The sequence below is a fragment of the Homo sapiens genome, chromosome 17, assembly GCF_000001405.40.
Source record: "Homo sapiens chromosome 17, GRCh38.p14 Primary Assembly".
NCBI lineage: Eukaryota > Metazoa > Chordata > Mammalia > Primates > Hominidae > Homo > Homo sapiens.
Window position 1 is genome coordinate 69,200,385 of NC_000017.11, and position 14,940 is coordinate 69,215,324.

Sequence of the window (14,940 nt, forward strand, 5' to 3'; positions counted from 1 at the left end):
TACATCATAATCACTATGATCTACTGTCTCCTGAAAATATACTTTTAAAAAGATAACTTCACACAAATAGAATGTCACTTAAGAATACTGCCCAAAAATCTTGAATAAAATAAGTAAATACCTAGGGAAGTATGCACTAAATTATAGAGGAATGTTTTACTGATGGCTCTCCCTGCTTTATTTCTTATTTGTTTACTTTCAGTCAATCAAACCAGTTTGAATATACAACTAACATTTATGCAGTTTCTATTATGTAACAGGCATATATGCTTAATTATCTTATGGATTATTTATATTATTAAAGATGAAAGAGAGGCATTCTATTCTATTTATTTATTTACTTCTGAGACAGGGTCTGGGTCTGTCGCCCAGGCTGGAGTGCAAGTGGCGCCATACTGGCTCACTGCAAACTCCACCTCTTGGGCTCAAGCCATCCTCCCACGTCAGCCTCCCCAGTAGCTGGGACTACAGGCATGCACCACCATGCCTGGCTAATTTTTGTATTTTTTGTAAAGACAGGGTTTCACCATGTTGCTCAGGCTGGTCTCAAACTCCTGAGCTCAAGTGATCTGCCCATCTGAGCCTACAAAAGTACTGGGATTACAGGTGTGAGCCCCTGCACCTGGCCATATATTCTTAGAAATGAATGAAAAAGCTGCTTAGCTAGATCATATAGTTTAACTGAAAGTCACAAAGCTATTAAATTGTGAAGAGACCTTTTGACTTCAAAATTTCAGTCCCTATACTCCCTATGGGAAGATAGTCTAAGTTTGAAAAACGTGTATAATATATACTTATATACTGCATATGTATACATATACATAACATAGCCATGTGTGTGTTAGAAGACAAAGCAGAGAGGGAGTATAAGTAGTGGGAGATGATAATATGGAAGACAGAAGATGAGAGGCAAGAAAATGATAGGTCTCTTAAATTTTACTGTTGATAGTATCAACAGTATTCACTTTGAAAATGGTGAATGAGAGGAATTTAGGATGATGGCAGAGAAATAATAAAAAGAAAAGAACACATAATCTATATCAACATTTGACCTGCAGCTTCATTTACTAAGCTTTTACCTATAAGTGTACATAGTCATGTAATTTCTTAGTTACCTTATGGCTTCTTTTCCATGGAATTCTGGAGACACCGGTTCAAAAGAATCATCAGAGGAATGCTCAGGATTTATTTCATTCTCAAAGATTTCATGATGAGTATTTTGATGTTTGGACCAAAATGAGGACTTAAGGAAAAATAATGGAGAATCCCCATGGCCATCTTTATCTAATTAATTAAGATACAATTACATATTGCATCAATTATACCACACCAATAAAAAGGGACATCTGTCCTTTACTTGATATCAATTTTGAACTTAAGTTATTTATCTTGGGCATTTATATTTATAATTTTTTTTTTTGAGACAGTCACGCTCTGTTGCCCAGGCAGGAGTGCAATGGCACGATCCTGGCTCACCGCAACCTCCGCCTCCCAGGTTCAAGCGATCTCTCCTGCCTCAGCTTCCCAAGTAGCTATTACAGGCACCTGCCACCACGCCCGGCTAACTTTTGTATTTTTATTAGAGACAGGGTTTCACCATGCTGGCCAGGCTGGTCTCGAACTCCCAACCTCAGGCGATCCGCCCACCTCGGCCTCCCAAAGTGCTGGGATTACAGGCGTGAGCCACCGTGCCCGGCTATAATGTTAAAAATAAAGCATTACAGGTGCATTAAAGTTAAGACAGTGCTGTGGCTTTCGATAAGTTATCAGCTATGATTGACAAAAATAAAAGAGCTCATGAAAGGGAATACAGTTCTAGCTGTAGGGAATCATATCAAACATCAAGAACTTCACTTTTTGGATTTCCAGACATTTGGATGCTAAAAAAAGGGATGTGTAAGCTGATCCTGCCATAGCATATGAAGATATATTATTTTGATAATATAGAAAAAAACAAATATTGAAAATAGTGAGTATATAATTCACTGTAAAATAAAAGAGAACTTTTTTCCAAGTCCTAAGAATACAACAAAAGCACAAAAATGAACATATTAAGAATGTTAAGGTAGACGTAAGGCTGGACAACTGTTGTCAAATAGGAAAAGGACATAGAAAGGAAGAAAATTAAAATTAAAGGATCAGATGTAGGAAGCATGGGAAATTTTTTTAATTCATTAGAAAAATTAAATAAGCACAGATTAAATTGTTTCTGCCACAAGTCTTCTCATGTTTTATTTTATATAAATTTTTTTCAACCAAATACATAGATAATTCTTTAACGTTTTATGATCTGGAATTATACAGGGATCTTTATCAAGAGATAGTTCATTTCATTCTCAGGTAGAAGGGGCTCTATGTATAATCAATTAAAAATGGCTTGACAGTTAAATGGACATATCTATTAGAGTAGAGAATACAAGTGCAGATCTAAAGAAGGAAAGAAAATAAATGAGATGGTGTTTTAATGATATATCCACAAAATAGGAATTTATTGGTGGTAAGAGGAGGAAATTTAAAAGATTTTTCAGAAACTGTAGGATAATTAAAACAATACAGAATTTTCACATGTAATATTTCACTGCAAGCTGTTACTGAAAGCTAATATAATGTAGGGGGATGGAGCTGAGCAAAAGAAGAGCTAAGGAAGAAGAGACACAACATATAAACTTCTTGATGTATGAAAGCAAAAGATGTTGATGACATGTAGAAAAATATATGGGAAAGAATGGAAAAGTTATAGATAGAAATTCTTTGACAAGAGAAATGTAAATAGTATTGCAGTTTTAGAGATATTATGTGGGAGAGAAGAAATGTTCAAAGATGAAAATATGTAAACAGATCTAGAGTTGAACTAGCCAAAAAGAGAAATTACACTATGAAAAAACAAAGAAAAAATTTTAGAAGGGGAAACAAATTAAAATTCAAAAATGAATTCATTTTATTCATAGAAATTATAGTATTTTTAAAAACATATCAAAAATCAAACTAATGTTTTATATTCTTGTTTTGCTACTACTGTAGTTATTGCCTGTCCTGGTCAGTGCCTCACCCCTAGTAGCCAAAGCCGGAAACCAGTGAGCCATCCTCATCTCTTTTCCCTCTCACTTCCCCCAACTTCTACATAATTAACCACCAAATCAAATTTCTATTTCCTAAGAACCTCGTGAATCTGTTCTCCCCTCTGCATTACAATGACATCTTAATTTGATCCTCTCAAACAGATTAGTATCCACCTGCTTTGAGCCCATTCTTCATGCAGCTGCCAGAGAGAGCTTCCTAAAAGGCAAATCTCACCAGTGAAAGAGCCTACATACACTACTACTTCAGTCTGTCTCCATTTTTTGCACCAGTCGTTCTAATGCTTTTGGATTTTTTGTACAAACGATAGTTCAAGAAACAAATATGTTGTGTTAAGGATAGTTTAAAAGCCTATCTGCTATGCTATAACCATCACTGCAAAAATAAAATGATATTTTTACTACAAAATACAGATAGAGAAAAGCTATGATCTCACAATAGAGAAGACAATTTCAAATTGAAGAATTAAGGTATATAAATAAATTTCACATTCTTTCTCTTATCTGACAAGGTGAAAATTTTGTCACAGATCATCACCAATACTTGAGTTGCCCAAGAGGACACAATCCAAAATTCTGTACATTCCCTATCAAGTGAAAATTATCACCAGGCACCTATAGAGGGGCTTAATTGGAGACAAGCCTCAGAATCTCAGGGATCTTTACATGCTATATTGTCCTGTGCCATGTACATTTGGAAAAATCTCCCGGTAATTATTGTAAACTGGTTAATAATTTCTACATCACAGACTCCTACTATGCACCAGCTCTGCCAAACAATTTTTAATTTCCCTTATGATATACTATTTCACGTTGCTGGGCATACATGCTGGTGACTATATGGCTGGATAACTGTTGTCAAATAGGAAAGGATATAGAAAGGAAGAAAATTAAAATGTGTTGCTGGGCATACATGCTGTTGACAATATGGCTGTGGACAAAATGTGTTTTCAAGACTCTTTAAGATGATTTGTTTTTAAGACTCTTCTCCACAAGATAAACTTACCTATCCTCTAAATGCAATTTGAGGTGTTTCCTCCATGCCTTTTCTAATTTGACAACCCTAGAACTTACCCTCTCATGGAACCTTGTGGTATCCTCTTATTATACTTCTTACACTACATTTAACTACCAATTTACATAAGTATTTCCAATGCTAACTGCAAAAGCCTTGAAGACTCAGACTGTTTAACCCATCATAGGCTTCAATAAGCAGTTACATTTTAAATGGATAAGTAGATTAAACCTGATGTCTAATTGGTACAGATACCATTAGCAATTCTTGGCTTGTTTTGGTTCAGTAAAAGAATTATAAGTGTAAAAACATTTACATATAATCTGGTCTAAAAATAAAGATTTGAAAGATGCTTATAAAAATTTAGATTGACCAGGCACAGTGGCTCACACCTGAAATCCCAGCACTTTGGGAGACCAAGACAGCTAAATGGCTTGAGGCCAGGAGTTTGAGACCAGCCTGGATAACATGGCAAAACCCCGTATCTACAAAATTACCAAAATTAGCTGGGTGTGGTGGTGTATGCTGGTAGTTCCAGCTACTGGGGAGGCTGAGGTGGGAGGATTGCTTGAGTCTGGGAGGCAGAGGTTGCAGTGAGCTGAGATTGTACCACTGCACTCCAGCCTGGGTGACACAGTGAGACCCTGTCTCAAAAAAATAAATAAATAAATTAGATTTAAAAATACGTATTATACCCAAATAAAGGTAAGTGAAATTTAATCAAATGTAAGGACTTTAAAAAAGAATTTTAATTTGAAGCTGAGAGAGAAAAAGAGTTCATTCTTGCCTTACTTCATCAAATATTTATTGAGAGCCTCCTATACACAACGTAGCCTCTAGATGGAAAAACACACTTTGTTCATCCTGAATAAAGTTCAAATGGAAAGGCACATATATGCATTTATTTAATTTGCTGGGAATTTATTGAGCATCTACTAGGTGCCAAACACTGTTGTGATGCATCAGTGTCATAAAAAGCAAATATCTCTTCCCTTGTGGGGATCTACATTCTAGGGAAACAAAACAGAATAAACAATAAAATATTCAATTCTATTAATATTTAAAAAGAAAGAGCATTAGGTCAGAGTTTCAAAGTTCTAGTCCAAATTCTGCTAAGTGTGTTCTTGGCCAGTCATGCAACTTCTCTAGATCACTGTTTTGGCACCTCTAAGATGTGTGTTCTGGACTAAATAATGAACTAAAAGCTGATTATTAAAATTATAGATTATACAAACAGGAATTGAAAAGAAAAAGTCAAATTCAATTTTCCCAGGTTTAAAGATTACTTGTGCTTCTGGGCAGTGGGGCTGGGGGAATATTGGAAAAGAAAAACAAGATGACTATGAATAAGTGAAGGACTTAAAGAAACATGAAAATGTTGCCTATTAAAAGCTAATTAAAGTCTAGAGATGAGGAATTTGTGTTACCATATTAATTATCAAAAAGCTCTCAGTTCGATGTAAAACTTGTAATTCTAATCACAACAGAAGATCATGAAGCGGAAATGGTAAAAGCACAAATGTAATATCCCTAGAATTACCATAAGTCTGGAGTTTCTATCTTTATAGCTAACTGTTATAATTGAGCTTCATAGTAGACAGAATTTGAGCATACAATGTCTGTGAACAAAGAACATTATTGTTCTTATTAAAGCTTAAAAACCCATCATCATGTTGTAGAAACTTACATTAAATTTAGGACCTCCAGAAATTAGGTAGATACAAATGACACAGAAAATGTGATTCTAGAATAATACTTTTCTTTTAAACAATATATTCTATGTAAAATTTGTCCCCCGACATGATCAGAGGTATCATTTAAAGGAAAAAAATGAAGTTGGTACAGCAGACATCAATAAGGTGTGGAATAGGACTTCCCAGCACTTGTTCCCCAGCAGAAACATTAACTTGAAATGACTATCTACACTCAAAAATACCTTCACAAGCGCTAAGGAAACCAGCTGACAGAGTACAGCACCTGAGTGTAGTAGATCAGAAGCAAGAAAAGATGCATTGAAGAGGGCAGAAAGGACAGTTTTACAATACCTGTGCCACCCCTTCCCAACCTGTCAGGCAGCACAGCATGAAAAGAGATACTCACCACTTGAGGAAATGAGAGATTGTTTCCTGTCTGTGCAAAAGCATTTTAGTTTGATGTAGACTCTGTCTCACACCATATACAAATTGGTCCCAACTTGCAAAGCTTCAACTTATGATTTTTCAACTTTTCAATAGATTTATTGGGATGAAATGCCATCATAAGTTGAGGAACATCTGTACAAAAATCAACTCAAAATGGAGTAAAGACTTAAAAGTAAAACCTGAAACTGTAAAACTACTAGAAGGAAACGGGGGAGAGGGGAGCTTCATGACACTGGTTTGGGCAATGATTTTTTTGGATAGGACCCCAGAAGCATGAGCAACAAAACAAAAGTAGACACATGGGATTACATCAAACTAAAAAGCTTTTGCACAGCCAGGAAAGGAATCAACAGAGTAATTAGAAAATATTTGCAAATGATACATCTGATAAGAGGTTAATATACAAAATATACAGCAAACTCAATAGTAAGAAAAAATAACCCAATTTGAAAACGAGCAAAGGACCTAAATAAACATTTCTGAAAAGGAGACATAAAAATGGCCAAGAAGAATATGAAAAAGTACTCAACATCACTAATCATCAGGGAAATGCAAATTAAAACCATAACGTGATAGCACCTCACATCTCTTGCAAGGGATGCTATCGAAAAGATGAAAGGTAAAAAGTGTTGGCAACGATGTGGAGAAAAGGGAAGCCTTGCCACTGTTGGTGAAAATGTAAATTAGTACAACCATTATGAAAAATATGATGAAGGTTCCCAAAAAGGTAAAAATAGAACTACCACATGATTGAGCAATTACACTTCTGGTATACATCCTAAGGGAAGGAAGCCATTACACTGAAGAGATATCTGCACTCCCATATTCGTTGTAGCATTATTCACAATAGTCAAGATATGAAAACAACAAACCCAGTGTCCATCAATGGATAAATGGATAAAGAAATTGTGAGATAGATATATATATATATACAATAGAATACTATTTAGCTTGTAAAAAAAGGAAGGAAATTTTGTCATTTGTGACAACATGCATGAACCTGGAGATACATTATGTTAAGTAAAGTAAGCCAGATACAGAAATATAAATACCATATGATCTCATTTATATGTAGAATCTAAAAAGTGGAACAAACTGAAATAAAGAATAGAATCTTGGCTACCAGGGCCTGGCAGTGGGTGGAGAGAGAGCAGGGATTGGAGAGGTTGGGAAGATGTTTGTTAGTCAAAGGATACAAAGTTTTAGTTAGATAGGAGGAATAAACTCAAGAGACCCATTGTACAACATGTTGACTACAGCTAATAACAACGTATTTTGAAAATTGCTAAGAGAGTAGATTTTAAGTGTTCTCACTACAAAGAATAAGTATATGAGGTAATGGATATGTTAATTAGCTAGATTTGACTAAGTTCACAATGTATACTATTTCAAAACATCATGTGTACATGGTAAATATATCAAGTTTTTGGCAATTAAATTATTTTTAAAAAGGTTTTGTGGTCAATAAAGTATAGAGACAGTGAATTACTAATTAAATTTTATAAGAATGTATTAGGAGGCCAGGCGCGGTGGCTCACGCCTGTAATCCCAGCACTTTGGGAGGCTGAGGTGGGCAGATCAAGAGGTCAGGACTTCAAGACCATCCTGGCTAACACGGTGAAAGCCCATCTCTACTAAAAATACAAAAAAATTAGCTGGGCGTGGTGGCAGGTGCCTGTAGTCCTAGCTATTCGGGAGGCTGAGGCAGGAGAATGGCGTGAACCCGGGATGTGGAGCTTGCAGCGACCAAGATCGCGCCACTGCACTCCAGTCTGAGGGGACAGGGCGAGACTCTGTCTCAAAAAAAAAAAAAAAAAAAAAAAAGAATGTATTAGGAAAAAAATTATGTTTACTACAGAAAACCAAAAATTTAGTATGGCACAGAATTACAAAACAGAAAAAATTTAACTTTGGCAATATACAACTTATTTCTTCCTCTACCCACTACAAAAAATTCTCATTTTGTCTGCTAGGTTCCTGGGCTTTGGGGGCTAAAGAAAATTAATTTGATTTATATTATAAAGGATAACGAATGATGGACAAAGGATAAAACAAGAGATTCCAAAAGGAAGAAAGCAATGAGAAAGTAGAGTAGAGCCTAAACCAATTAGTTGAAGGACACTTTTAAGAATTTAGATGCCAGGCACAGTGGCTCACATTTGTAATCCCAGCACTTTAGGTGGCCAAGGTGGGAGGATCCCTTGAGGCCAGGAGTTTGAGACCAGCCTGGGCAACGTAGCAAGACCCCACCTCTACAAAAAAATTTTTAAAAAAATTAGTCTGGTGTGGTGGCACATGTCTGTGGTCCCAGCTACAGAGGAGGCTGAGGTGGGAGGATAGCTTGAACCTAGGAGGTCAAGGCTGCAGTGAGCTATGATGGCACCACTCCACTTCAGCCTGGGTAGCAGGGAGACCCTATCTTCAAAACAAATAAAAAGAATTTAAAGAACAGGGTGTTTTTAATGCTCTTGCCATATGTATAAGTGACAGAATGAGTGCATACAGAAGTAGACAAGGTTTGGGATTTCAAGTTCCATTTTGCCTGTTTGAAAAATAACATTAAAGTAATTTTTTAAATTATCAAATATGAGAGTGCTTTCACTGTGATCTGTAACAAGTTAGGGCAACATGTTAAGATAATTTTATGTGGGTTATGTATGCTACATGCTGCTCTTTAGTCAAAAGAAGAAACTTTATCTAATTAGAGAATTCAATTCATTTCTTCACAGGAATAATTTTTCAAAGTAATTTTGAAGCCAATTTGCCACATACATAAGAAATTACTCATATGAACATGTTACATCACGAAATTGGAAAACTGTATTATTTGCCAGTAAGAAGCATAGGGACTAAACTGTAAACGATAGTACAATAAAGATTAAGCAAATATAAAATAAGTCTAGAAGAAAGCTATAAATATTTTTCAAATAAAATACCTGAATTAGAAATCAGATGAACATACTAAAATAAGTAGGGTTTGAAAATAACAGTAATAGTCAGATTCTGACATGTAAGAAATTATGTGTGAGGAAAACATAGATTTTTTATGGAGCTAAATAAGTACAGTCACGTGTCACTGAACAATGGGGATACCTTCTGAGAATGTGTCATTTTGTCATTGTGCACTCTACAAACCTAATGATATAGTCTACTACGCACCTAGGCTATGTGGTAGCCCATGGCTCCTAGACTACAAACCTGTACAGCATGTTACTGTACTCTATACTGTAGGAAATTGTAAGACAATGGTATCTCTATCTTATCATATCTAAACATAGAAAAGGTACAGTAAAAATATGGGATTATGATCTTCTGTGACCACTGTGGTGTCTGTAGTCCATCATTGACAAAAACATTGTTATGCAGCACATGACTGTACATTAGGTTTTAGGATTATATGTGCACACACTATCTACAAATTTTATAGTCATTTAAAAGCCATCTGTAGAGCTTATGCTATTACTTTATTATTATTATTATTATTATTATTTCAATAGTTTTGAGGGAACAGGTGATGTTTGGTTACATGGGTAAATTATTTAGTGGTTATTTCTTTTTTTTTTTTTTTTTTTTTTTTTTTTTTGAGACGGAGTCTCGCTCTGTCGCCCAGGCCGGACTGCGGACTGCAGTGGCGCAATCTCGGCTCACTGCAAGCTCCGCTTCCCGGGTTCACGCCATTCTCCTGCCTCAGCCTCCCGAGTAGCTGGGACTACAGGCGCCCGCCACCGCGCCCGGCTAATTTTTTGTATTTTTAGTAGAGACGGGGTTTCACCTTGTTAGCCAGGATGGTCTCGATCTCCTGACCTCATGATCCACTCGCCTCGGCCTCCCAAAGTGCTGGGATTACAGGCGTGAGCCACCGCGCCCGGCCTTTAGTGGTTATTTCTGAGATTTTGGTGTACACATCACCTGAGCAGTATACACTGCATCCAATGTGTAGTCTTTTATCCTTCAACCCCTCATCCTTCCCTCCAAGTCCCCAAAGTTCATTATTCACATGCTTTTGCATCCTCATAGCTTAGCTCCCACTTATAAGCAAGAGCATATGATGTTTCGTTTTCCATTCCTGAGTTAACTTCACTTAGAATAATGGTCTCTGACTCCATCCAGGTTGCTGCAAATGCCATTATTTCATTCCTTCTTATGGATGAGTAGTATTTCATTATATATATGTATATATATACAATGGCATATATATACATATATATATATGCCACATATTTATGCCACATATATATATATATATATGCCATATTTCCTTTACCCACTCATTGATTGATGGGCATTTGGGCTGGTCCCATATTTTTGCAATACCACTTTACTCCTGCAAAATTGCCATAATTTAAAAAATCAAAAAAGAATAGATGTTGGCACAGATGTCGTGAGAAGGGAACACATTTACACTGCTCGTGGGAATGTAAACTTGTACAACCACTATGGAAAACAGTACGGAGATTCCTTAAAGAGCTAAAAGTGGAACTACCCTTTGATCCAGCAATCCTACTACTAGTTATCCACCCAGAGGAAAAGAAATCACTACATGAAAAAGACACTTGCATATGAATGTTTATTGCAGCACAATTTGCAATTGCAAAAATAGGGAACCAGCTTTAAATAATGCCATTATTTCATTCCTTTTTAATGGCTGAGTAGTATCCTATGGTATATATATATCATATATATACATCATATATATGATATATATATATATATATATATATATATATATATATATATATATATACACACACACCACATTTTCTTTATCCACTCGTTGGTTGATAGCATCTAATGTTCATCAGAGATATTGGTGTGTAGTTTTCTTTTTTTGTTATGCCCTTTCCTGGTTTTGGTATTAGGGTGATCCTGGCTTCATAGAATGATTTAGGGAGGATTCCCTCTTTCTCTATCTTTTGAAATAGTGTCAATAGGATAGGTATCAATTCTTCTTTGAGTGTCTGACAGAATTCAGCTATGAATCCATCTGTTCCTGGACTCTTTGGGGGCGGGGGGGAATATTTTAATTACCATTTCAATCTCACTGCTTGTTATTGGTCTGTTCAGGGTTTCTATTTCTTCCTGGTTTATTCTAGAAGGGTTGCATATTTCCAGGAATTTATCCATCTCCTCTAGGTTTTCTAGTTTTTGCACATAAAGGTGTCCATAGTGGCCCTGAATGATCTTTTGTACTTCTGTGTTATCAGTTGTAATATCTCTCATTTCATTCCAAATTGAGCATATTTGGATCTTCTCTCTTTTCTTGGTGAATCTTGCTAATGGTCTATCAATTTTGTTCAACTTTTCAAAGAACCAGCTTTTTGTTTCATTTATTTTTTGTATTTTTTGTTTCAATTTCATTTAGTTCTGCTCTGATCTTGGGGATTTCTTTTCTTCTGCTGGGTTTGGGTTTGGTTTGTTTTTGTTTCTCCAGTTCCTTGAGGTGTGACCTTAGATTGTCTATTTGTGCTCTTTCAGACTTTTTGATGTAGGTATTTTATGCCATGAACTTTCTTTTTAGCACTGCTTTTTCTGTATCGCAGGGGTTTTGATAAGTTGTGTCACTATTATCATTAGGTTGAAAGAATTTTTAAATTTCCATTTTTATTTCATTGTTGACCGAACAATCATTCAGGAGCAGGTTATTTAATTTCTGTGTGTTTGCATGGTTCTGAGGGCTCCTTTTGGAGTTGATTTTCAATTTTGTTCCACTGTGGTCTGAGACAGTGCTTGATATAATGTTGATTTATTGAGACTTGTTTTGTTGCTTATCATATGGTCTATCTTGGAGAATGTTCCATGTGCTGATGAACAGAATGTATATTCTGCAGTTGTTGGGTAGAATATTCTGTAAATATTTGTTAAGTTCAGGGTATACTTTAAGACCATTGTTTCTTTGTTAACTTTCTATCTTGATGACCTGTTCAGTGCTGTCAGTGGAGTATCGAAGTCCCCCACTATTATCGTGTTGCCATTTATCTCATTTCTTAGGTCTAGTAGTAATTGCTTTTATAAATTTGAGAGCTCCAGTATTAGGTGCACACAGATTTAGGACTGTGACATTTTCCTGTTGGACTAGTCCTTTTATTATTATATAATGTCCCTCTTTGTCTTTTTAACTGTTGTTGCTTTAAAGTCTTTTTGTCTGATATAAGAATAGCTACTCCTGTGTCCATTTGCATGGAATATCTATTCCCACCCCTTTACCTTAAGTTTATGTGAGTCCTTATGTGTTGGGTGAGTCTCTTGAAGACAGCAGATACTTGGTTGGTGAATTTTTATTCATTCTGCTATTCTGTATCTTTTAAGTGGCACATTTAGGCCATTTACATTCAATGTGGGTATTGAGATGTGAGGTACTATGCTATTCATCATGCTGGTTTTCTAGAATGCTGGTTATGCTAGCAGTGAAGTTGCCACGTGGACAGACTCAGGACCTCTGGTTAGCCAGGGTGTTGCAAGTGGTAGAATTATCTGTTGTTTTCTCCTTCTTTGGTGCAGGATTGTTCTGTTATGACTTTGTGTAATGGCTTGAGTTCATTGGCCTCCAACCAGGAGGTGGAACTTTCAAGACAGCACCAGCTGCTGTAGCGCCCTACAGTGGCCAGGATAAGTACTCTGGTTTCTCAGGCTATGGGTGGGGCCATAGAGCTCCCAAGAGTTTGTGTCTTTTGTCTTTAGCTACCAGCGGTGGGGAGAATAAAAACAATCAGGTGGGGGCAGGGTTAGGCATGTCTGAGCTCAGACTTTCCTTGGGTGGGGCTTGCTGTGACCACTGTGGGCGACAGGTTTGCGGGTGGGGGGAGGGTCGTTCTCAGACCAACGGTGTTATGTTCCCAGGGGAATTATGGCTACTTCTGCTGCATCATACAGATAGCCAGGAAAGTGGGGGAAAGCCAGGAGTGACAGGCCTCACCCAGCTCCCACACAGTCAGCAAGGCCAGTCTCACTCCCACTGTGCCCCCACAACAGCACTGAGTTTATATTCAGGCATCCAGTGAGCAAGGCTGAGATCTTGCCCCAGGCTATAAGCCTCCCTGCTGAGAAAGCAAGCAGGGCTCTCGGGCCTGGCTGGGCCCTCCCCATCTGCCCACACCTTTGGCTGTTGCTTCTGCGCTAGTACCTACATTTCCTGTTCAACCCCCTAACCAACCCCCACCCTGGCCCCTTCCGATTCTGCTCAGGAAAATTCATGCTCAAAGTTATTACAAAATTCAGCTAGGAGCTTCCTTCACTCTGTGGCCCCTCCCCTATTTTATTACCTTTAATAACATTATAGAAAGCATTCTTATTGGGCTGATGTTTCGACAAAAGGGAGAGAATAAGAAATAATCCATTAACTTCATATTGTGTTTCCTTCTTCATATTTTTGAGATTCGGAAGAACAACTATACTTGAGCCAAATATTAACAAGAACCAATTAATGAACTATTTTACATAAGTGAGTTCAATTTAGGCACTAAAAAGCATCATTATTCAATAGGTGATTTAAGTGTTTTCCTCCCTCTCTCAAACTAAAACACATACCGACACACATACATCCTACCTTTACGAAAGACAAAAACCAAAATAAATACAGTTCTTTTTAATTAAAATGATTTTTAAAAATGATTCAGTTCGGCCGGGCGCGGTGGCTCACGCCTGTAATCCCAGCACTTTGGGAGGCCGAGGCGGGCGGATCACGAGGTCAGGAGATCGAGACCATCCCGGCTAAAACGGTGAAACCCCGTCTCTACTAAAAATACAAAAAATTAGCTGGGCGTAGTGGCGGGCGCCTGTAGTCCCAGCTACTTGGGAGGCTGAGGCAGGAGAATGGCGTGAACCCGGGAGGCGGAGCTTGCAGTGAGCCGAGATCCCGCCACTGCACTCCAGCCTGGGCGACAGAGCGAGACTCCGTCTCAAAAAAAAAAAAAATGATTCAGTTCATACCTTTAAATAGTAAAATGGAAATGAGGAAATTCTATTGTTTTGAAATTTTTTCTTCTCTACTATCAGAAATGCTTCTTAAGTTACAAATAAACAGATATTAATACATGTTTTAAGAAACAGAATTGCTTTAAATTTAACTTTAACCACACTATTAACTTACCAGGTAAAACTCGCTCAAAATATAATGTGAATATCAAATAGAAAAGAGTATCAAATGCCAAAATGAAAAAAGTGGCTATCATTTTGTATGAATCCCCAGAGGGATCAGGAAAAATAACACCACTTAAGTAATTATCCAGGTGTGTAATCTGAGATTTAAAAGAAAAAATAAAATGTTAGATGAACTTATAAAACTAAATAAAACAATTTTTTTTAAAAAATAGTGGTACCTAGAGATATGTAATTAATATTTTAATACCTTTTCAAATATGCATAGTAAATGTGCTATTAGTATTGTTGCTTTTTAAAAAATGTAAGTATTCTCACAAAATTTTAAAATGCTATATATGAAAGTAAAACAAAAAAGAGAAATTAACTGCATCATTAATCATGGGTATTTTAACAAAGAAAATATGGAGAAGTGGACAAGCAACCAAATATAACATACTTTGGGAAGGAAAACTTGAAGTGGGCAACATAATTAGAGCCCATTTAAAGAAACATAAAAATTCTAAGTATAAGATATTGCAGAAACATTCAATTATTAAATAAGTACTGAAGACTTGAAGAAAAAACTAGAAAGATAATAATGATAACAGTTAACATTTAGATAGTATGTATC

The 14,940-nt window shown here is 36.6% G+C and overlaps 1 protein-coding gene across 2 annotated transcripts in view, besides 1 other annotated feature; it reads right to left on the reverse strand.

The window, feature by feature from the left end:
• The window catches only part of ABCA10 (ATP binding cassette subfamily A member 10), a 96,842-nt gene that overhangs the window by 52,378 nt on the left and 29,524 nt on the right, over nt 1-14,940 (reverse strand). For both annotated transcript variants that reach the window (NM_080282.4, NM_001377321.1), the window contains 2 exons: nt 14,320-14,467; nt 1,116-1,284 (listed from right to left, as the gene is read on the reverse strand). In NM_080282.4, the coding sequence (NP_525021.3) occupies nt 1,116-1,284; nt 14,320-14,467 (317 nt within the window). The remainder of the gene's footprint in view (nt 1-1,115; nt 1,285-14,319; nt 14,468-14,940) is intronic.
• Nucleotides 12,597-13,517: an enhancer, noted in NCBI's record as "H3K4me1 hESC enhancer chr17:67209122-67210042 (GRCh37/hg19 assembly coordinates)". NCBI's record gives its function as "activates a minimal SCP1, AML or CMV promoter by ChIP-STARR-seq in naive H9 embryonic stem cells {active_cell/tissue: H9 hESC(naive)}" and the evidence as "EXISTENCE:reporter gene assay evidence [ECO:0000049][PMID:30033119]".